The 25,814-nt window shown below is 35.7% G+C and overlaps 1 protein-coding gene across 5 annotated transcripts in view; it reads right to left on the reverse strand.

Annotated features, from left to right (window-relative positions):
- Positions 1 to 25,814, reverse strand: part of TSPAN12 (tetraspanin 12) — a 71,016-nt gene that overhangs the window by 23,671 nt on the left and 21,531 nt on the right. For 3 of the 5 annotated variants that reach the window (XM_005250239.4, XM_047420095.1, NM_012338.4), the window contains one exon: positions 4,739 to 4,813. The exons of 1 other annotated variant lie outside the window; for it this stretch is intronic. In XM_005250239.4, coding sequence (XP_005250296.1) covers positions 4,739 to 4,813 — 75 coding nt within the window. Of the gene's footprint in view, positions 1 to 3,014; positions 3,257 to 4,738; positions 4,814 to 25,814 lie in introns of those variants that run through there. One more of the 5 variants, XM_047420097.1, reaches the window with a different exon arrangement.

Genomic DNA, 25,814 nt, shown 5'->3' on the forward strand with positions numbered 1-25,814 from the left:
ACTAAAACAAAGAGGAAAGAATTAAGAAGGGAAAGAATTTGGCTCAACTCAAGCCTCACTCTGGGATAATTTTATCAACACTTTTTCAAAAGTTGTAATTAAGAGGTATGTTAGAATTTTAGAAAGAACAGTTCTCCACTTTTACACTGTTGGTGGGAATGTAAACTAGCACAACCACTATGGAAAACAGTGTGGAGATTCCTTAAAGAACTAAAAGTGGATCTACCATTTGATCCAGCAATCCCACTACTAGTTATCTACCCAGAGGAAAAGAAGTCATTATATGAAAAAGATACTTGCACACTCATGTTTATAGCAGCACATTTCGCAATTGTAAAAATGTGGAACCAGCCCAAGCCCATCAATCAATGAGTGGATAAAGAAAATGTATATATCAGCTGGGCATGGTGGCTCACACCTGTAATCCCAGCACTTTGGGAGGCCAAGACGGGCGGATCACGAGGTCAGGAGATCGAGACCATCCTGGCTAACACAGTGAAACCCCGTCTCTACTAAAAATACAAAAAAAAATTAGCCGGTGTAGTGGCGGGTGCCTGTAGTCCCAGCTACTTGGGAGGCTGAGGCAGGAGAATGGTGTGAACCCGGAGGGCGAAGGTTGCAGTGAGCCGAGATCACGCCACTGCACTCCAGCCTGGGTGACAGAGCGAGACTCGGTCTCAAAAAAAAAAAAAAGAAAAGAAAATATATATACCATGGAATACTATTCAGCCATAAAAAGGAAAAAATAATGGCATTCACAGCAACCTGGATGGAATTGCAGACCAATATTCTAAGTGAAGTAACTCAGGAATGGAAAACTAAGCATCGTATTTTCTCACTCGTATGTGGGAGCTAAGCTATAAGACACAAAGCCATAAGAATAATACAATGGACTTTGGGGACTCGGGAGGAAGGATGGGAGGGGGACGAGGGATAAAAGACTACACATTGGGTACAGTGTACACTGCTCAGGTGATGGATGCACGAAAATCTCAGAAATCACCACTAAAGAACTTATTAATGTAATCAACTACCACCTGTTCCCCAAAAACCTATTGAAATAAAAAAATTAAAAATAATTTAAAAAGAAAGAACAGTTTTTAAAGTAAAGCATTTTTGTGCTTCTATTCTCCAATCACCTAGCACCATGTCTATTACAGAGTATTTAATCATGACAGAGCTTTAGGTATACAGTACCACAGTCATTGTTGTAATACAATACAATACAACAGTCATTACTGGCCAGAAATCTGGTCAGTATATCAAGCTATGATTTTACTGCAGGGCCATGAGAAATTGAGGTATACAAATGCAAATCTCATTACACACACAGTATTAAGGCAACTCTGGGAAACTGGATGGACATTCCCATCTGATCTATGAAGTAATATAGACTGGGCTTAGTAAAGCAAGCTTGACATTCAACAAATAACACAAAGATAGAGAACCAAAAAGGAAAAAAGGGAGACATGAGCAAATAAGGCTCCAACAGAACTAGAGATTAGGATTATTATGAAATCTTATTTTTTAAGATAGTCATATCGATAGAAGCAGTTTCAAAATTCCTGACCACAGAAAATCTTCGTTTTTTTCTTTGTTAACTTTTTTTTTGATTACTTGGAAATACACAATAAAACATCCAAACACTTGGGCACACATTTTTTTCCCCCAAATAATGGGCTAAACGGGTGTACTTTGTGTTCATATGCCTTCAACAAGGTTCAGGGAACTAGTCAAAGTTCAAGCTACTCACCATAAATTAATATTATCTCATAACCTTTTGGGCATAAAATAAATGGAAGTGAAATAAATTATCTAGAAATGTACAATCTGAAACTCTTATCACTGACAGATTTTATCTAGAGAAGGAATAATGAATAGAAGATGAGCAGTACAAAAAAAACCAGAAATAATGAGAAAACACATTATCTGATGTCAAGTTACTTGATTTAGTTAATATATCAATTTTTTTAAACTTTACCTTCTAAAATAAATACAGGTTGTTTCCTTATTGTGACCACTATCAATCTGAGACCAAATGTGGAAGAAAACAGAGGAGACCATTGAGGTTCTGGCACAAATACTGAGGTCTGGTCATAAAGTAACACACAGGTTGATTGGTTCCTTGCATGGAACAGCTAAAAGCACAAAGCCCATTCTATGTAAAGGCTGGGTTCTGCAAAATTTGGCAGATAATAAACTTTAATGGTACTTTTCATTCACACTGCTATTAGTGCAAAAGCAATAAAAAACCTGACAAACTTTTTTTAAAGAACTGCTTTTACACTTCACTTTTAAACAGCCCTTGCTCCATCCTGGTGATGTAATGGGAAAGATTTATGAAAGCAAAACAGTGATGTGTGCCCTCAACTGGAATGGCAGTGGGCACCTATTTAGCACTGCAGGACTCAGGAGCTATTTGCAGATGGCCTCTTAACAGAATAGAAGAAAGTGTCTAAACAAGAATACATTCATTTCAATTTCCTCATATTTCTTAGAATTACTTTAAAATCAAAACATTTCATTTCAAACATGTTAAGTTAATTCATTTTGAACTTGCTGTATCTTAGAAGATTTACCAAATATTGGTATGGCATATATACTCTAATGCCCATGTTTAAAATCCACAAGAAAGTAAACAAATTGCTAAAACCCTTTTAATTACCAAACAGCAGACAATAAAAAGCTGAGGTAACAGGATCCAGAACTAATGATAAGATGTACTCTCTATGGCTTAAATGTCAAGGAGACACATTTATCATTTGAAAACAGAAAAAAATAAGAGAGACAATCTCTTGACCAGTAAACCACAGAAACCGATTCCCTGGAGTCAAGTACTTTATCACTCCCCTAATAAAGTTACCAGAGACAGGGAGAAAATATGATTTTCAAAGACAGCAAACAAATTCCTATATTAATGGGAGATTTCATGTTGTTAAAAGCTCTTAACTTTGTATTAAACTAGTTAGAATCTGAGCTAACTTTTCACCTTTTCAGGAACTCTCTCTACTTACTTAGTGCCGTTGTACATTGGAAGCATGAGTGTCTTCACAGAGATACATATGTGTGAGTGTGCCAAAGCACCACTGACATGTAAATTGGAGTGTGCAGAGTAGCCACTAGTCTGTGGTTACTACTTAGTATTCAAAACAGTCTCGAAGCACAATAGTAGATTCACCAAAGAATCTTTGAAGACTACATCAGCACCAGAAATGACTTCTATTTTACTGTTCAATTGCCAAATGACTCTCTTCGCTCTGAAACAAAGACAATATAATCTTTCTCTCTTCTGGAGACTTACTACACTTTAAAATGTTGAAGATGCACCAGGGAACTTGTCACAGATGCAAATGCCCAGTCCTTGCCCGTTCCTCCCTGCCTTCCCCTCCATTCTGATTGAGCACATCTGGGCTGGAGCCCAATAACGCATATTTTTAAGAATCATCCTGGGTGGCTCCTACTGCAGATGGCCCAAGAACTACATATGGAAAATCACCATTTTACTAAAACAGAATTACTCTACAAAGTTTGTGGGGAAAAAGTCTGGCCTCCCTCCATGAAAACAACCAGCATTCACAGACATGCAAAAGTGTTCGACATCACATCACTAGCAGTAAATGCACTAATTTCCCTCAATGAAGTAAGCAAATGTTAATAAGTAATAATACCCAGTGAGTGCAAGGGTGAAGTGCAAGTGGTAAGCCAAACATGACTAGTAAAAATCTTAAGACTGAGAAATGTTATGCTCGTTTATGCTAGCTATAAAAGTTGTCCCAACCATTTCAACTGCTGAAATAAAAGATAAAAAAATGATGAATAGCTATTTTCAAGTAGCCAAGTGTGGAACTGTGAGAGTGTTTCTAGATCGTGCCAAACACACAGCAACTCTTCAAATACACCTCTTACTTAAGGTGGAAAATGATTCTGCCTGTCGCAAACAGGAGATGTAGGCTTCCTAGTCATCTGTTCACTATTGCAGTCAGCATTTTATAAGACTTTATGTAGGTGTTCAAGAATTTTCAAACCAATCATTTGTGAATGTGAATCTTTTCTATTATTAACTTCAAAATTGGTAAAATTATTTTAGAACATATACTATATTTAGTCTATGATACCCATGTTTAAGCAGCCTGTGGAATTAAAGACATATACAGAGTATACCAAATAAAATTTTACAAATTATGGTTTGGAAATGTGCTTTAGACACAGAAAAGAAAATGCTAGTTTTCAGAAGTATTGGGATTATTAACTGTTATCATGTAGCATAAACATTCAAATTAATAATCATGTACCTAAATTACTCTAAAGTATTGATATGGTTAGGCTTTGTGTCCCCACCCAAATCTCATCTTGAGTCGTAATCCCCCTATCCCCACATATCAAGGGACAGACTAGGTGGAGGTAATTGAATCATGGGGCAGTTTCCCTCACGCTGTTCTTTTGATAGTGGGTGAGTTCCCAAGAGATCTGATGGTTTTATAAGGGGCTCTTCCCCCTTCGATCAACACTTCTCCTTCCTCCCACCATGTGAAGAAGGTGTCTTGCTTCCTCTTCACCTTCTGCCATGATTGTAAGTTTCCTGAGGCCTCCCCAGCCATGCTGAACTGTGAGTTAATTTACAAATTACCCAGTCTTGGGCAGTTCTTTCATAGCGGAGTGAAAATGAACTAACACAAGTATCTAATTTAAAAGGCTGAACTGTTGTTTTAGATTGTGATTATATCTATTTTGAACTCACCATAAGTTCCTGTTCATATGTCCAAACGCCACAAGCCAGTTCTACACAGAAAATGACAAGCAAACTTCCAAAGTACTGTAGAAAAACAGAAAAGTATGCTGTTATAGTATCAGAATAAAATAGGCTCCTCAAAGACAGACTTGGTATTATGTTTACCTAGTGACCAAGAAAACAGAGGCAAGTTTTCATGAAGCCCCTCAGAAGCAGATGGGGAAATTATCAGCAAATTTAGAAATATCTGCAGATAACATTTAATATTCATCTCAGTGAGCCCTAATTTATTAGCCGTCTCCTGAGAAAAATCTTTTATAAATGCCACTAGTTTCATTAGGATAAATAAGAATTTACATGTTCTAGTTTGATAAACTTTAATCAAGTTCTCCAAGAAAGGGGACCTAATTCCTTTCAAAGTGGACGAGGTGAAGTCAACAAGTTCAATGCTCTGCACCATGAGCAGATTTTAACTCATTCTTCTAGGCAATGGGGGTTGGGGGGTTTCCTTTGCATTCTTGGAAAAAGCACAACATAGAACAAAATCTCAACTACTGTTGACACTTTCTATAGTAAGTTTCTATTATGGGGAAGGCACTTGGGATATATAAAAGAATATCAAAATTCTGATAAGGCATGCGCAGGCAAAAAAAAACACAAAGTTGAATATGGTGTCAAAAACAGAAATGGAGATAAAAATTCAAGATTCCTATGAAATAGAGAAATATGCAGTGTTCCAAAAGGTGAAGAGGATTGGAACAAAGAAGAGAAGAGAGAATACCAGGCAAATAAAAGCCATGAACAAGTGTGCAGAGTCAGCTGCAAAGTCAAGCAAAGAATCGGGGAACAGGAAACAGATCCATCTAGCTGGAGTGGGGTGGTCAGAAAGAGGAATGAGAAGAGATCAAAGGTGAAAGATGCACTGAAGCCAGATTATGGTGAACTTTAAATAATACACTAGTGAATTTTAAATCCATCATGTAGGCATTAAGGTAGCATCTTTCAAAGGTTCTGAATAGGGGAATGACATTATAAACTGATAAAATAAAGGCAAAGTTCTCAATGATTTGGAAAAAGGAAGGCTGAGGGGGATGGTGAAGATGCCTTAGAAGGCAGCACAAGAGGAGGCATGAAGCGAGCAGCTGAACTTAGATGGTAGCCTTGAAAATAGGCAGAAAAGAATCATTTTAAAAGGCACAGGAAAAGAAAATTGACAAGGCATTAGACTCATTGAATTTAGAATGGAGGAGAATGATGTATTTCACCAAAGCAGATAAATTGTCAGGGGTAAACAGCTCTGTGGGAAGATAAAAAATCTAATTTTATTTGATTAACATAAAAATGTTTATCTAAGTATCAGAAATGTAGATTTGGCTAAGCGTGGTGGCTCAGGCCTGTAATCTCAACGTTTGGGTTTTGGGAGGTGGGAGGGTCACTTGAGTCCAGGAATTCGAGACCAGCCTGGAAAATATAATGAGACCCCATATCTACAAAAAGAAAAAAAGAAGAAGAAAAGAAAATTAGCCAGGCATGGTGGTATGTGTTTGTAATCCTAACACTTTGGGAGGCTGAGGTGGGAGGATCACTTGAGCCCAGGAGATTGAGGCTGTAGTGAGCAATGATCATGTCACAGCACTTCAGCCTCGGGGACAGAGAGAGAACCTGTCTCAAAAAAAAAGTGTAGATTATTTGAAGCCCACATAGCCGAGGGTGGAATTGAAAACCATTATTATGATTAGAAAAAAACAGCAACTTTTGGATAGTGCTGTTTATCAAGTACTTTCACAATTAATTCACTCAAGAATCCTGTGAAACAGATAAGGCTACCTCATTTTACAAACAAGAAAATTAACACAAACAGCAGATAATGTGACTTCCACAAGAATGTGCATAATGAATTTGAGAGGACTGGATCACTGTAGCTGTGTTCCTGTGTCATACCTTGCCCAGTTGTGGTGGTAATTTTACAGAGGCAAGCAGCAAAAATATGAGAAAGAACGAGCTCTCTGAAAATCATCCTACTAATTTTAGCAGGAATAAAACTTCTTTGCAATTATGAATATTCCATTCTATTTACAGTGGGAGGTCAGGGTGGGAGTACCAGGTAGTGACGATTTGTGAATATCCTCCTTCACTGGACTGAAAGCTCCACTAAGGGCAGGTACATTCTTGCATTCCTCATCACATAATAGGTGTTCAACGAGTATTTGTTAAGTAAAAGAATAAATGCAAACAAAGCAGAAAGGTATGATAGTGAGTAGGACTGGGAGCTACCTTGGACTGGGTGATCAGGGAAGGTCTTTTGATAAAGGTGATCTTTAAAATGAGTCAGCACAGACAAGAAAGAAGCAATGCTGTTAAGACTTCAGAAAAAAGCAATCCAGGAAGAGGAAATACCAAGTGTGATGTGGCCTTACATGGTGAGCTAGCTAGTTAAAAACTCAATGGTAACTGGCACACAGAAAGAGTGGGATGGGGTACAGGGTATGCAAGTAGACGTTATGATGTGCCAAGAAACAGATCATACTGAGCCATGGAAAGGATTTTGGATTTTATTCTATGGGTAATGCAAATCCATTAGCAGGTGGCGTGATCTAATGTACATTATAAAAACATAATTCTGGCAATTTTGTGAAAAAATGACCTGTAGAAAAGCAAGGTGTGATGAATCTAATAAAAGATTGCACAAGTAGAATGAAGGCAAGAAAATGGAAAAAGTGGACTGAATTAGGATTGTGAGCCATTAGCATTCAAACTTAAAGTTTCTTTGTTCATAATATTTGCTAATTAAAGGGGGAGTGGAGTATAAGATATAGAAAATGGGGCTGATTTTTACTACCATAACATACCTCCTATGATTTAAAAATATAAATCATTACTATTAGTTTTAATCTGCTTCCTTCATATTTCTTTCATATAAAAAATAAAGAATATATAACTGCATAATCTCTCAGACAATAACACAGCTTCAAAATAAGTGTTGGTTCAAAGGATAAAGTAGTATTTTGTTAAGGGGCTCTCATTTTGTAAGCTACTTTTATTTTTGGCATACACAGTACTCATGGTCAGCTTTAATATACTCAGATATCATTTCAAAGTATTGTTATTTCTAGGCCTTACTTTAAAGATTTCAGCCTTAAAAGTATGATTAGAAGAAATTTCGTGAGCATAGTACTTCAAGCCAATTTTTATCCGACCTTTCTTTAATGCTTTACTTAAGAGATTTCTAGACATAAAAAATATTATATTTGTATCTTATGTTACAAAGAGACCAAATGTTCAGTAACTACATACTGGATCACTTTTCTAATCTTTGATAAGAAAAGACCCTTAGAGACAGTGAGACTCCAGAGAAAAATTAAACTATGAGACATTTTTTGCTCTCTCAGATTCTTAACCTAAATTTGTTTCATATTTGATATCTGGCTACAATGAAAACCAAAGCATCCCTGAAAAGGCAAGATATGTTTATCAATAAAACATGGACATGGATGATGATTATAAAGAAAACAGGAAATGCCCTGACTTTGCCTTGAGGATAACCATGTAAATTTCTTGACCGGTTTTATAACCTTTTAAATCGTACTTGAATATTCTCTCATTTTCTGCCTCCTGAAGTCATTAATCAGTTTGCAAATGTAGCCCATGATTGGTGGGGAGGGGCTAAGTTTCCTATGAGCTAGACACCCTTAACTCTGGGAAAACTCCAAAATGACTGTATCTTTCAGATTTCCAATGGTTTCACATGATGCCAGTTATCCCATACAAAATAATTTTTTTTCTTTATTCCACTAACACTCAGGAACACTGATTTGTTTGACTTTGAGGTTGAAAAGACAAGTTTCACCAACATTATAACACTTTCTTGGAATAAATTAAATTTAAAATTTGATTCAAATAAAATATTTTTAAAATGATGTTGCAGCTTCACGGTCAGCTGTCTTTTCTTTGTTGTTATTGCTGTAGCCTGAAACATCTAGTCTTCTAATTCCAAGGAAAACATTAAATGTCAAATTCATCCTTAATACAGGATAAAGAGACCATCTGCATCTACCCCTAAATTTTCTTTTGTAGTGAGATCTGAGTCCTTGATAAAGTCATTCTCATACTGATTATTGCACTGAGAATCACTCAGCTGCTATTTAGTTTAAGAGCTAGATTTGAAGCATCTATAAAGCATGATGCTAATCTTAATTTCAATAAAACAAAATTAGCCCAGAATTAAACAACAGTTCCTGCTGAGCTGTGTTGTGATATGAAGTGTACATCCCTATCAATGTCACTACACAGACACCTATTGTCTTCAACATTACTGGGAACAGGTATGTATCTCCCCTGATGGTGGCAGCAAGTGTTCCTCATGTTTCTTGCTTTCCCAATGCATATGGTTTGATGAGATGGTCTGTACCAGTCTAGTTTGCAAAGCAACTCACCCTCTCTTCTCCTAGTGGGTTTTCTTTCTGGAATGATGAAAAGTGCTCTGAATTTGGAGTTAGATTTAAGTTCAAAACCAGCTCTGAAACATATTGTGTGACCTTTAGCAAACCATTTAACTGTCCTTGTGTCAGTTTGCTTATCTGCCTGATAAAGATAAAAAAAAGAACCCCCTTTTACAGTTGCCATCAACGTAGATTTGATACATGGGAAAATGCTTTGGAAAATGGAAAGCGTTATAAAAAATGCTATTCTGTACTAGTTTGTGAAACACCATCCATAATGACTTGTCCTCTCTTTCCGTACATAGCCTTCATTCTCTGCAGTGTGCCACAGTGTCTTCCTCATCACTGTTTTCCAGTATTTTACCTCCTATTCTTTATTTTCTCACTTTTCTCCCTCCCTCTGTGTGTCGGGGTTTCCTTGTCTGCTGTATTTCAGGTCTCAGAGACTTTGGCTTATAAACCACTTGGCTGTCCTACTCATAAGTCACAGTGCTCCCTCCACTGCTAGATCATCAGTTCTGGCTGGCAAGGATCTTGTTCTTAAACATTATTTTATCCCCAGTGCCCAAGCAGCACCTGTCACACAGCAGGTATTGGGTGGAATGTCAGTGGAAATAATGAGTAGTTTACCAACTAAGACCAATTTCAGTATTCCCTTGGGTTTCTCTAATTTGAACCTTGAGTGTCTTATTAACATTTGACTCCCCTTGATTTCTGCCTACACATTTCTATTTTAAATATTGCCTCTCTTTTACCAGTGTCTTTTCTGTAGATTATGCTATAATAATCCAGTATGCCTTTAAACATTTAACACAATTTACAAGTGAAAGAAAGGGAATAACGTGCAGACTCTCCCCATCTCAAGTTACTACCATCTAAACATTTTAAATGAATGAAGAATGAATAAATGTGTGTCTATATGGGAAATTAGAATGTCATTATTTCCATTATAAAGTATTTTACTTGCTTTGAAAAATTGTTCAATACAGAGTTCCTGAAAATATCTAATTTCCCCTACTATAGACCAACTAAAACTTGTTTTCCACAAATAAGTTTTATTCCTAAACCTACATTCATGAAAAAAAATTGCATCTAACACAGCATTCTGATAATAGGATACACCCCCTAAATGATGTAATCAATCAGAGATTTTTTTCACCAAGTCACTGAAGCTGAGAATAAATAACTTTCGGTTCAAAGATGAGTGCCTTCATATTTTAGGTAATAGAAGATTAAATAAAACAATGTACGTGAAATTGTCTTGTTGACTTAAAAAAAAAAAAAGCTGTAAAAATGGAAGAACATAGGCTTTGAAATAAAAAATAGACCTGGCTTCAGATTTTGGCTACTTGACATATCCATTGGCTAGTCTTGGGCAAACCACTACACCTCAGTTTCTTCATTTGTAAAGTGAGAATGTTAAAATTACCTTGCAATGCTGTGCAAAAGATTCCATAAGGTAAAGTGCTGCTTCCTTGTAAGCACTTCCTAAAAAGTAGCCATTATTAACCATATCATAATTTCTACTAGAACACAAACTCCACATGAACAAGAGGTATCAGTGTGTTTTAAATACTTACCACTCTACCTGGCACATAGCAGACACTTAATATATGTTTCTTGAGTAGAGGTAATTAGGATTAGAGGATGAGAATGACGGTGTATAAAATTGCTCATCCTCCTGAGACTATCAGTGTCACCCCCACAAAAGGGTGTCTAATCCCAAAGGCTATGACATGAACTTTTAGTAAAATCCCTGTCCAGTGAGACTGTTTTTGGTATTTTCCAAAACATCTTTATTACAAAACTAAAGCAGGATGGGTGTGGAGGGTGGGGAACACAACTTCTTTTTTAAAAGTAGTGAAATCAATTTGTCTGTTATCTTAAACAAACTGAGGTTGGTCACAGAATGACCAGAATGACATGTTACTAGTCCCTTTGTCCACTGGAAGTATCTGAGGAGGAAAGGAAGGGCTTGACACCCACCTTCCTATTTAAGCCCTTGGGGATGTGTGGGTAAATGCATCCCCTCGTAGAAACAAAGAGGATTAATTCCCCCCACTTTTAAAGTTATTTAACATCACTATATGTACACAGACAAAATAGTAAAATCTCAAGGAAGGCCCTTTTCTTAAAGAAACATTTATTTATAAAAATGATCTGCTTCCCTGATACCACCACCCCCTAGGATTTCCCCCTAAAGAAAGCAGATTCAACACTTGCCCTTATCCCTTCTTCCCCTTGAAACTTCACTAAAACAATAGTAAAGGGATATTTTAAAAGGCATAATCCCAGGGAAAACTGCATAATCCCAGGGAAAACTGAAAAAAGGAAAAAGAGATAACAGCAAGTATATTTTGGAAAAGTGCAAAGCAGAGAGCAGAGTGGCAAATTCCTCAGCAGTCCCCCAAAAGCTGAATGCTAAAGCAATAGTGGGAAAACCTGATTCACATCACGGAGTCCCCAAAATACTCAGGTATTGGCAGCCCTGAGGTGGGGATAAAGAGAGAAGGACTTGTTGAAAACCCCACTTAGGAAGAAGTTAGACCTCCCCCAAACACAGGCCCCTCTCTCATCCTATGCAGCAGGGTGACTACCCTACCTTCACCAATAGAGATGCTTGAGGAAGTGGAGACACTAAAATAGAGAGTCAGGATTGGGGACAGCAGGTATAGTAGATGACAAAGTACAGTACTAGAAACACAGAATTGAAGGTCAAATTTACATACCTTTCCTACAAAGGTTCAAGACTCAAATCAAACCAAATTAGCAGTGGACTTCTAAAGGACAGCAAACGAGTGTCTTCAAAATTCTGAGGAAAAAAGTTATTTCCAATCTGGAATTGTACAGCCATCAGAATTAATGCATGAGGGTTTATAAAGCCATTTCCAGGCATATAGGCTTTAAAAATTTTCCTATGAATGCTTTTTCCGGAAATTACTGGAAGACATGCTTCCTAAAATGAGAGACTAAACAGAGAAGGACAATGACTTGGAATCCAGGAAACAGAGGGTCTAAAATAAAAGGGAGGCAAAGGAAATTCCAGAACGGTAGTAAAGGGATATCCCATGATATCCTTTTACTACCTGAAGCAATAGCTTCAGGAGGCCTAGGCTGGAGCAGGTCTAGAATGTTCTGATATATATATATATATATTCGATGAAATGCCCAATATATTTGACTATATAAAGAAAAAACTTACACCAGAAGGAAGTAATTCAGAGTTGAATTAAACATAAATACACAAAACAACAAAACAAAGAAATTGATGAATTTCAAGAAAAACAACAGATCATTCCAGAAAGAAAATGTAAACCTAGTACTTTATCAGACCCAGCTGTAAACAGCATTTACATGGTCACACTCATGTAAACACCAATCTAACCAAAATTATGAAATGTCTGGGTTGAGGTGAGATAGGAAGTATGGTGGGTGAGGCACAGCAGGAAAGGGTGCCAGTTCTTCATCTTCCATAAGGGGAAGCCAATGGATAGTGCCCAAAACTAAAAACTAAAAGAAGAGTTACATAAATATATGATTTAGAGATACGGAAGTAAATTCCAAAGGAATCTGCTCAAACAAAATTGAAAGCAATTGCCTCATGGGTGTGGAAAATGCCAGGATAAATGACTGCAATGTTTCATCATAAGCTTTTTGGAACTAAATTAGCTCTCTAAATTATGTGCTTGGAGCACACTGATAAAAGTAAAAACAAAATTAAAACAAACAATAGCCCTCTGGAGGCCTTGACACCAAAGAGAAAAGTCTTGGTAGCTGAAGGACTTTAAATATGTTTTACATAGAAAATTGTAAGTGGTGCAATTATACTTCAGGGTTATGCGAGGTAAAGGAGGTGAGTGGAGATTGGAAATATTCTAACTGCTCAGGTACAGTCTTCCTTTCCCTAAATGTATCCTCAGTAATTCAAAATAGAAATGGTATAACAAAAATATAAAAAATGTATACCCAGGCTAGACCCTGCTTTGAAATATGAATTTCTTCTGCAATATTGCCCATTAAAACTATACATTTGGGAGGCCAAAGTGGGCAGATCACAAGGTCAAGAGATCAAGACCATCCTGGCCAACATGGTGAAACCCCATCTCTACTAAAAATGCAAAAAAAAAAAAAAAATTAGCTGGGCATGATGGCACACCCCTATAGTCCCAGCAACTCGAGAGGCTGAGGCAGGAGAATCGATTGAACCTGGGAGGCGGAGGTTGCAGTGAGCCAAGATGGTACCATTGCACTCTAGCCTGGTGATAGAGCGAGACTCCATTTCAAAAAAAAAACAAAAACCTATCCATACTGTTTGCTCAAATCAGTGTGAGTTGAACTATTTTCCATGTTCGTTCAGTTCAATCACAAAATCATAGAACCTAGAATTCTGTTATTGTCAATTTCATTCAATGATAGTCTGAATTTTGTTTGTTTGTATTCTATTGCCTCTCAATGAATGAAAAAGTAAATTTTTTCTTTTTACGTCTTTACTTCTTTACTGTTAATAATGGGTATTAACAAACTTTCTAAAAAGACAATATTTGCTTTTGTATTAAATATTTCCAATGATTTTCACTTTGGGGAAACTTGACTTTTTAAAATTTTCATTTCTAACTTTTATTCATCTAATGAAGACAAAAAAGCAATCTTCTCTAACAAAGTCAATCAATTTATTGAGTGCCTATATTTTGGAAAGTATTAAACTTGGTAAAAGCAGTTGAAAAACATAGGAAAAGATACTTTCAATTACTAAGAGCATGTTTAGAGAAAATATACTCTCTACATGTAAAACTTAACACCCTCATTCCTTTCAACTTTACAAAGAGAGGACTCTATGATATACATTATCTAAAGAAAACAAAAAACTCTGTATCTACCTCACCACAAATAGAAAAGGCAATTGTTTTCCAAACTGTTTTTCTATATAAATGCCACTGCAAAAGAATTTTTACATTAAAAGAATTGTAATGTTTTCCTTGAACACTTTTACATAAGGTTTTTTTTGTGTGCAAGCAAGCAGATAATTCACCAAGTATCACAGAATCCCCCTCAATAAGAATCTGCTACACTGAAAGAAAAGTAAAAAGTATAAACAACATAAAAGTTATTTTAACTTACTGTTCTCTGAATTTATAACTAAAAACTCAGACGGTTTTTTCATGAGTAACATTCAACATGATTTAAAACCACAAAAGTCAGATTTGCTTATCTTGTAAAATTGATACAACCTGTGATTCATCTCCCCCCAACTAAAAGTTATTTCAAAATATAACACACTTTACTGGACATTTTAATATTTTTAAAACATGGTGCCTTTTGACTCCTATCTACATGCTACATAGCCAATACTTTTAATAAACAAAAAGTTTGATGAAAGGCCTACATTCACTAAATGATAAATGATAAACTCCAGTCTCTATCCTGTCAAATACTAAACTCTGCAAACTTTCTGTGCTAAGTATCTTTATGGCAGTTGTTTATTTTTCCTTTCCCGGTGATTGGAGGTTTAAAAATATTATGTTACTTACAGTTAGTAAATAAGGGAATTCCATTGCCAAATATTTGTACAAGATAATGGAACAGCCATCCTTCTATTAAGAATCCATGGGGACTAAAATACTAACAACCTCAAGAGTACTTGCTGCTGAAAACACATATACACACAGAGCCTCTGTTTTAGCTATAGCAGACACACACTTGGTAATTTCTGAAGGTCAATCATTCACCACGTCAATATCTCTCTACAATTTTTTTAAAAAAGTCAAAGAATCAGGTCAGCCTGATTTAGGAAAAATAAATTAGAACTATAGACCAATGGTTAAAGAAATAGTCTTGTCTTAGAGACCGTCCCAAGCCCACCAGTATCAATAACTACTCAGGACATGCAGAAATTTAAGCTCAGATTAAAAATTTATGGTCCTTTGTGCATGCTTGTACTTGAATAAATATTGAATATTTTTTCTAAAATTGTATCTTAATTTACTCCCCTTTTCAATTTCATTTACATTAATAATTGCTGAGCTAATTTCTTATTAAAGATGTTGGTGAAATTCAAATTAGTAAGGGTTTGCTTCATGTGATGTTCAAACTACTAGACAGAGAAATGTGTTATGCCAGGATGTGCCAGTCTAGCAGAAGGCTACAAGTTCCCAGGGTCAATGATGTACATCAAGGCATTAAGGGTCAGTCAATAAAACATCGGAGCACACTAGAGAAGTCACCATGTACATGGTGTCTATTGCCTGGTAAGCTAAGTCAGCTAAAGTGTGCAAGCTCAGCCCTATCTCAAAAGATTTACAGGCTGTTACTGGTTTCTGAAGAGGGTATCTATACAGATTATTGGGCCATTCCTAAGAATGTGAGACAGGGGTCCCCATTACCAAAACCCATACATGAACATGCAAACAGGAAGGAGCCTTAGCAATATCTCAAGCAACACAGCCAAAATAATACCACACACGATTCTGACCCTTATCGTGCCTCTCCCTCAGACCTAACCAAATGTGTCCAGATACTTCCCAAACAAAAGAGGGGAATGAGTTCACTATAGTCAGCATCTTTATTTTTATTAAATTTTTTTTGGAGACAGAGTCTCATTCTTTCACCCAGGCTGCAGTGCTGTGGCATGATCTCGGCTCACTGCAACCTCCCCATCCCAGGTTCAAGTGATTCTCCTGCCTCAGCCTCCCAAGTGGCTGGGACTACAGACATGCACCACCATGCCCGGCTAATTTTTGTATTTTTAGTAGAGATGAGGTTTTACCACGTTGGCCAGGCTGGTCTCGAACTCTTGACCACAAGTGATCCACCTGCCTCGGCCTCCCAAAATGCTGAGATTATAGGCGTGAGCCATTACACCCCACCAATAGTCAGCATCTTTATGAAAACACTTTCATAAGACAACAAGTTAGGAAATGAGAAGTTTTAAAAGACGTTAGATTAGGCGAAAGAAAACTCGTACTATAATAGCTGTCAACAACTTTTTAGCTTATCTATAACTCTATGTCTGCAAAAGTATCTCCTTCTAAATCACATTTTTTTTTGCTTTCAAACAAGATAAATACTTTATTTTTGTATATTCTCCAGAATGACCACAAACCCTATTTGTTAAAAAAGGGTATTAAAGGAAATAGTTTCGTTTAAATTTTACAAATCCACATATATAAATATGTATTACAAGTAAACAGCTTGTTCTTTTCATTGATAAATATATTCATGCACATACACTTTGTTCCTAAACCATAAATATTTTTATTCCCACAGAAAAAAAGCATAAGAACATAATTATTTGTGAATGTTACACTCTGATTCACAGTCATGCTCAATGTTCAGAGAAGAAAAATGATGTATAAACAACGATAAAATTATTAAATCAGCGAAGTTGCCAAAACATCAGTAATTCAGTCTAAATGATAGAAGGAAGTTTGAATTAACTACAAATTACAGAATAATTGTAAAGAAATGCACTTTTGTTACAATGAATATTTGAATATAACGATGTTGAAAAGTAAAGACCTGCTTTTATAAACAAACCAATGATGACGTGAGGAAAGCATATCCATTATCTCTAAGTAAATGTTTTTAACATTCTTGAAAAGTTTATTCGTAAAAATTTGTTCTCCAAGTTTGTCTAAGCAGTTCTACCACAGTCCACTGACACTAGTTGTTTAAGAAAAGTCTTTTCCCTGAGGCTGAAAAATCGCTGCAGCGTTCCAAAGAACTAATGTTGTAACCCTCAGCAAGGTCCTCTTTGTGCTGGCTTGTTTCCCTAAACTCACCTTAGCCCAGCACCCAGTGTCTAGATGCCTAATTTAGCTTAGTCAGTATATTTTTAGTATCAAATCTGAACTAAAGACATCTAGATTAATAGAATTTTACTTATAATGACATCTGGAAAAAATCTAAAACATTAGATGGACTTCCCCACATGAGTACCTTTATTCGCTCATCAATAAAGGCATATTGTCAGAATTAAAGCATGTCCTCCATTCTCTCTTCTATCATTAAAAAAGGTTATCAAAACGTAATTCTCCCTTACTTAGCCAAGAGTAACAAGACCAGGTATCCATTTCTCCCAGGTGAATGAGCAGAAGGTCCAGGATTAGGGAATAGACACTCCTACCAGGGATACATAGCAAAAGATAGAACAGATCGTGCTTCTGCTCACAAAACTTCAGATCACAGAGTATGCATGACATTCAATTTGGCACCAGCTCACTCAGCCAAGTCTCAGACATATCTGATACACATATACCCTAAGACATACATGTGCCCTTCTCCAAGCCCACTGTGAGCTTTCCAGTGTTATCACAATTGTTCCTTCCACCAGCCTTTGGGTCCTCCAAAGCGCCTTTCTCCTCTGGCCCACTGTCCACCAACCACTCACTGCCCCTTGCCCTTCTCCATCACATCTCAGCTCAAATACTTCCTCAGGTCCCTTTGTTAAATGTTCTTAATAGAAGACAACGATTGTTCCTTAGTGTTTTTTTCTTTCTCCTTTTTTTTTTTTTTTTTTTTTTACAGTACCTTTAAAAACACAAAGAGAGAACTTTCGGAATGAAAGTACTTTCATAATAAAAGGTAAAAAACCCTAATTGTCTCATTAGAAGTTCTCAGTCTGTGCTTCAACTCAACTGTGCAAGCCCTATACAGAATGTGAAACTGTAAAATATTTTAAATGCTTGTTTACTGGAAAAGACACAGCAATGATTCATATTCTACTTAATTAGAAATTATTTTTAAGTTGCTATCATTTAATAAAATTCTGTTATTTCATTAAATCTTTAGAATTGTATTCATATTCTTCTTAAAGATTATGTTTCTAAAATGTCATTATTTTAAGGAAATTTGTTGTTTCTAAAGTTTAAAGTTTTATAACTAAAATAACGGCTGTATAAAGAAAATTCAGGAATAACCACTTATTTTAGAATAATTCAAATGCGCTGCTTAACAGAAATACAAAGTGATACAACTACAGTGTTAAAACATTTTAAATACAATTTAAGTTATTGTTTCTGTCATCTAAGCTGAGAAAATTTATCTTAGCCTGAGCATGTAACCTGAGCCTATTACCTTTTCTCTGAAAAAAGGAAAAGACACATGGATTACAATTCTAAAAATGTGAGTTTTTAAAATTTATATAGTTTCAAGAAAAAGCTTTCTTTAATTCATAATCTTATTTAGCCAACAACTTCATTAGACATTGCACATAAAGCAAATACTAACCATGATTTTTTTTTTTTTCTAAATATTCCATCTAAAAGCTGCTTTCCTCACTGGCTTAAATGACTTAATTCTCTCAACTTTTACAAACGTTATCCGCCCTCTTGTTTTAACTCTCTTTACATTTAGGATACTGTTTCCTCAGTCATCTCCTTTTAAATGAATGTTTTCTGGTTTATGTTTGCCAAAGGAAGTTAGTAGAGAGACATGTGGAAGTAAATGAGAAAGTGAAAACACAGCACAATTGCTGAACTCTCCTCAAGGAAGCATTCGCTGAATTGGTGACCAGTATTCACAGGTGGAATGAACATTTCAATAGCATGTGCTGCCAGAAAAATACCTGACTTTGAACTTTGCACAAACTCAGGACAGTCACCAAATCAATGGATATGGAAATATTTGGCTTATATTTAACTAAAATTATCTCAAATGTATATATCTAAAAACAATCTATAATAAGGTTTAAAATGCTTACGGTGACATAGTACACCATACAAAAACTTGAATCATTCATATTTCAAACCCTGAAGAAAGACAAAGTTCCAATGAACAGCCAAAATCCTCTCATAAAGACCCAACACTAAGGCCATGAATATCACACAGTTTTCCTGGCCCCTGTCTCTGACACAACATTTACTTTTGAAGACATCTGCTGACATACTTTCATGGGGCATCAGAAGCCATAAAATACTTACAAGTAAATTTAACTGAGGAGTTAAAAGATCGATATGCTGAAAATTATAAAATACTGATGAAAGAAATTGAAGATGACACAAACAAATAGAAAGATATCCCATGTTTATGGATTAGAAGAATTAATATTGTTAAAATGTCCATACTATCCAAAGTGACCTACAAATTCAATGCAATCCCAATCAAAACTCCAATGTCATTTTTTTACAGAAACAGGAAAAAAAATCCTAAAATTCCTATGGTACTACAAATTCCCCAAATAGCCAAAGTAACCCTGAGCAAAAACAACAAAGCTGCAGGTATCACACTACCTGATTTCAAAATATATTATAAAGTTATAGTAATCAAAACAGCATGGTAGTAGCCTAAAAACAGATATCAACCAATGGAAAAGGACAAAAAGCCCAGAAAGAAGTAAACTGACACATTTACAGCCAATTGATTTTTTGACAAAGATGCCAATAACACACAATGGGAAATGGAAAGTATCTTCAATAAAGGGGAACAACTGGATATCCATATGCAGAAGAATAAAATTACTCTTATTTCACAGCATAAGCAAAAAAACAACAAAAATGTTTTAAAGATTTAAATGTAAGACCTGAAACTGTAAAACTAGTAGAAGACAATGCATGAGAAGAACTCCAGGACACCGATCTGAGCAATGATTTTTTAATATGACCCCAAAGTCACAGACAGAAAAAAAGCAGAAATAGACACATGAGAAAATATTAAACTACCAAGCTTCTGCATAGCAAAAGAAACAATTAGAAGAGTGAAACCCATTGATTAGGAGAAAATATTTGCAAACCATGTATCTGTTAAGGGACTAATATCCAAAACATAAAATGGACTCAAACAACTCAATAGCAAGAAAGTAAATAACCCAATTAAAAAATAAGCAAAGGACCTGAACAGACATTTCTTAAAAGATGACATGCAAATACCCAACAGAAGACAAAGAGATGAAAAAAAATGCTCAACATCACTGTTAGGAAAACACAAATTCAAACCACAATGAAATATCAACTTGTAGCTCTTAGAATGTTTACTATCAAAAAGACAAAAGATAACAAATGTTGGCAAGGCTGTGGGGGAAAAAAATCCTGGTACACTGTTTGAGTAAATATAAATTAGTACAGCCATTATGGAGAGCAGTATGGAGGTTTTCAAAAAATTATAAATTGAATTACCATATGATCCAGCAATCTCACTTCTGAGTGTACATCCAAACGAAATGAATAGGAATGCCACAGAGATATCTGTATTCTCATGTTCATTCCAGCATTATTCACAATAGTCAAGACATAAAAGCAACCTAAGTGTCCATCAATAGATGAATGGATAAAGAAAATGTAGTCCATATATACAACAGAATACTATACAGCCCTAAAAAAACAAGGAAATTCTGTTACTTGTGGTAACATGGATGAACCTGGAGGACATTATGTTAAGTGAAATAAGCCAGCACAGAAAGACAGATACCACATGATCTCAGTTATATGTGGAACCTAAAAAGTGTTGATCTCAGAGGAATAGAGAGTAGAATGGTGGTTACTAGAGGCTGGTAGGGTGAAGAGGAGGAGGGTGAAAGGATGATTAATGGGTACAAAGTTTCAGTTAGATAGTAGAAATAACTTTTAGTGACCTATTGCATAGCATGGTGACTATAGAGTGATGTATAAGTGTATATTTAATAATGATAAGTTGTATATTTCAAAATTGCTAAAATAGTAAACTTTAAATGTTCTCACCACAAAAAATAAGTGGATGCAGTGGATATGTTAATTAGCTTCATCTAAGAATCCCACCGTGTATACATACATCATTGAAACATCAAATTGTACCCCATAAATATATACAATTATTATTGATAATTACAAATAAAAAATTTTAAATTATAACTTCTAAAGAATTCTAGCTAACAAGTCAAATAAAGTACATGTATTGAGTAGATATGTTTCTATTATATAAAAAAGTACAAATGCTGAATAATTTTTCATTTCCTGATGTCAAGCAATACAAACATTACTATCATGTAATGCTTTATCCATAATTCTACCTCAGCAAGGTTTACTGATTTCAGCCACCTTCCTCCAGTCCCTAAGTCTTACTTAGTTCATACCCTTATCCATGGCTTCTGGGGATGATAATGTAATCACTAACAGGGCTTTCTATTGTCTCCCGCTTAAATGTGAATTATCATTTCATCACAAGCTGGAAACACGCATTGGTTCTTTACAGCCCAAAGAATAACATCTAACTTTTTGATAAAGACCTTCACAATTGGACTTAACTTCATTTTCTTCTCACTGTGCACCAACACCACAGCCACTCTGACTTTCTAAGTTTTGCCTAAGCTTACCCTGTCCCTTCACTCCTCAGTGTTTATACACACTCTTCATGTTGCTGTAAATCTTCTTCCTTCCTCGTCTCCACCGGCAAACCCTTATGTATTTTTCAACATCCAGTTCAAATAAAGACTCCCCTGTGAAACATTCTGGAAATCTCCATTTGCTCCTGATTCTGGGTTCCCACAGCAATTATTTATAAATTTAATGTTATATTTTGCTTTGTAATTTTCTTTCTATTCACCCCTTTCATCTTTGTTCTCTCAAGTAACTATCATGGATGGGTACTCAATACACAATTAAGGAGGGCAAAAGGAAAGGAAAGAGGAATGAGAGGTGAGGAAGGTAAAAAGGAAAGGAGAAACTGCTTGATTCTTTGACAAGATAAGCAAAAATGATAACTACAGTAGAAATTTTAAAGTTCATTTTATAATAAGCATACCAAAAGACCATATTTTTAGAAATTAAATGACTACCGAATGCCTTGGAGTGATAAATGAAGCATAGTTAAAGTCTTCTAGAAACAATGCCAGTAATTAGTTAAATGCCTTATAACAGTACTGTGGTGTAGTGAAACCTGCATGGTCTTTCAGCACAGGCTGCATTTGAATGCTAACAACTACCAGCTGTGTATCTTTGGGGATTCTACTTTTCCTCATTTGTAAAATTAGTCTAATAGAGTTGCTGTGAGTATATTTTGAGAAAACAAAGGTAAAATATTGGGCAGATACTGAACATACGGTAAATAATATGATGAATCTTCATTTAGAAATAAAGTTTAGGCTATCAACCAAAAATATAAACAAAATAATAAAGACATACAACTTAATAGGTTAATTTTAACTTAAGGACTTATGACTAGCTATATAATCATAAAATTCATGACTATGTAAGAGAAGGCCTTAAACAGAGACTTTTTAGAAAATCAATTACTACTTAAATATATTCTGATTTGCATTATGATTTTAAACAACAAACAAACAAACAAACAAAAAAAAAACAAGGGGAAATTTCTCCAAGGCCATTAAAATTTCATTTGATTTCCACTAAGGAAAACATTCAGATCTGGTTCAATCACTCTATATTTAAAGAAAGTTTTAAAAGTGCAAGCACACAATCAATAGTTATATTCAAAGTCTCTGGAAAAATAAAATTGGAAAAAAAAGCACTTCTCCTTTTAAAATGATTCATTTGTATTAAATACGTAAGGTACATCCAACTTAATTTCTGACAAGCACTTGACTGCTTGTGGTTTGCTGGCAGTTGAGCATATATTTGCATCACATCCTGACAAATGATGATCTCCTGATGGTGACATTCAGCTGTTGTCAACATCATAAACATGTCTGTTCAATCTGTTTACATTCCCCCTGAGCTGGCACTGCTTTCCTAATGCCTATGTTAATAGCAAGGTAGAACTGCAATAACAAATGAATTTCATTTCGTCTACAGCTAAAGCCTTGGGAAGTAACCATCTAAGGCTTAAAACCAATTTCAATTTAGCTTCACTTTCTCTGTTAATGGGAGAAGGAATTTCTACTACTGAAATTACCGTGAAAGGCATGGCATATTCCAGTTTCTTTTCTTAGTCATTTTTGGCTTGTTTTCCCATTATAATTAGAATTTAATTATTCTTAAACCCCTCATATAAATACATAAAAATTTCTGTTCTATGACAGTTTCACACTTGCTAAGAACAAATCTAATGAGTACGTTTGCCAGATAAAGCAAATAAAAATACCTATGTCCATTTAAATTTAAATTTCAATGAATAATGTTTTAGTATATGTATATTCTAAACATTGCATGGGATATACTCATACTAAAACATTATTTATTGTTTATCTGAAATCAAATTTAATTGGGCATCTTCTATTTTATTTGGGAACCTTAAATTAGGGTGCTTTAACAACTTACATCTATAAATCTATCATTCAAAAGAAGGATGAAATTCATGACCAAGGTTTCTCAGAAATGTTTTCCAATAGGTGGCCTCTTAGCTTGTAGAGGTTTTCTGTTGCTTTTTGATGAGGGCTGCAGGGAGGCTGGTTATAAAGACCTGTTTTGAGGAAGGCTCATTTACTTTTTCTTGATCAGTCTGTTGAATAATGGCATTTTTACTTTTGCTTGAACAGCAAAACAGCCCAGTTGCCAGCTCTTTTTTATATATATATAATCATTCAAGAGATATGGCAGCTCTCTGAGATACCAATTGTCTTTTGAAAAATAGCTTTCTCACACTAATCTGTTTTACAGCTCTTAAAAGTAAAACAAGACTTTGAATACAGGGAAATGGACAAGTTGGATGAATGTATTCTGCTTGTTTAAATATTTACATCCAAAATAAAAGTAAGAAACTTCCTTAAAAAATTGTTTTTAATTAGGATAAAAGGTTAAAGGGCACACAAAAAATACTGTAAGTTACTTTGCAAATATTTGCCCAAGACCTTACATCATGTCGCATTCTGCACTATTTTACCGCCCACCCCTCCATGAGCCATTCCCCTTGTAATCTAACCTTTTCTAACAGTCAAATTCCTCTGTTAAAATCTCACTCTCATCACTGCCTTCCAGGCAACATCTTTAATCTGATGTGCTGGTCATTCCTACTTTCACTATTCTAATTCACTGTCTGTTATTCAATGATTTAATAAACACTTATTAAAGCAATGAGCAAGGTGAATGGTTCATATTACTGAAGTTGTTTGTAGTCTGGTAGTCTGGGCTGATTATTAAAAAGAAAAGGAAGTTTATAATAAGAGAAATACACTAGGCTTCAAAAGTTGGGAAAAGTCTATTAGAGACATCAGTAAAGGCCCAGTGAGAATGGGCTTTGCAATCAGGAACGCCGAGGTCTGAATCCAAGCTCCCAGCCTTATTGCCGAATGACTTGTGGCATATTACTGACCTCTCTGAACCTCATTTAATAATTACCTATCTCAGATAATTGTCGTCAGGTTTAAAATGAAAATGTTTTATACATTACAGGACACATTTGTAAACACTTAGGAAAAAAATCAGCTATTATAGAGTAAAATGGCAAAATTGTTACAAATATTGGAACTAGACTGCCATGGCCTGAATATTAGATCCTCTCTTTACTAGCTGTGTAGACTTAGGCAACTCACTTAATCTCTCTATGCCTCATTTCCTCATCTATATTAAGTGAATAATAAGGGTAATTCAAAGTTTTAGTCCAATTTTATACTCAGCAGAGAGGATAAAATTGATTAACTCATGTACAAGAACTCTTCATTTAAAAAAAATTCAGGTAAAACTCTACAGTGTCTGGCACTGTAAGTACTCAAGAAATGTTAACTACTTCAATTATCATCAGTGTCATAATTATCATTTGAAGAGGTAGCATTTCAGATAAGTCTTCATGGGCTAGTAATATTTAAATGAAAGTACTGAGAAGAAATTTCTGGCTAAGAAGACAGCAAGAATAAATGTAGAGAAGAACGGAGCAAGAAAGTTTGTTCAGGGGTCAGAAAATACAGAACCAGAGAATAATGAAGTAGATAAAAAAGCAAAAAATGGCAGATCAAGTCTCCATTGTAGAAGGGCTTGGTGTACATTTGAGGTGTTGGTACATACTTCATTACCCAATAGGGAGTCTCTGCACCTGTCTGAGCAGGAAGTTAGGAAAGCCTGAACTTGGGCATCCCAGAGGAGGACAGAAAAGAGAGGACAACTTCCCATGACTGTAGAATCTGAACTGAGAGGAATAGGCAGCTATTTAGAGGAGTGGGATGTGGGGAGGAAGCCAGAGAGGAGAGCCTGAGAAACAGACCAGATGCAAATTGGTTGTGAGTGATAGATACATGGTAGTTGAGACCACAGATCATTCTTTAGCAAGAAGGAAGCTGTGTTAGGTCTAGACAGAGTAAGGACTAGAAGCCTGCCATGAGAGGAGAGGCACCCCAAAGGGAATGGAGAACGAACAGCCAAAGGCAATCAACAGGAAGGAGGAACCAAGATGTAGATGTCACCTAGGGACACATGGAACAGCAATGCATAAAAAGATGCTTTGTAAAAAAGAGTACATCCAAAAAGCAAAGTAGAGATGGAAAAAAGCAAAATCAATCTATGCTCATCATCTTCCCAGAGGGTGGCACTGAACCCTTCGGGCTGAGCTCAGAGTTCTTCCTCTCTGGCCTCAATAGCACCCAGTGCAAACCCTATTAGAGGTCTTATCTCATAAAGACAGGTCTGATAGCAAAAATTGGTGGTATACATGATCAGTAAGTATTTGGAGAATGAATGAATGAGTAAATTAGTGGCCTTTAGAACCTCAGTCATCCCTGCCACTTTTGCATTATAATGCTCTTGCCAGTATTACAAACTAGACTCTCATTCACAAGTTTAAGATTTGCTCTA

The sequence above is a fragment of the Homo sapiens genome, chromosome 7, assembly GCF_000001405.40.
Source record: "Homo sapiens chromosome 7, GRCh38.p14 Primary Assembly".
NCBI lineage: Eukaryota > Metazoa > Chordata > Mammalia > Primates > Hominidae > Homo > Homo sapiens.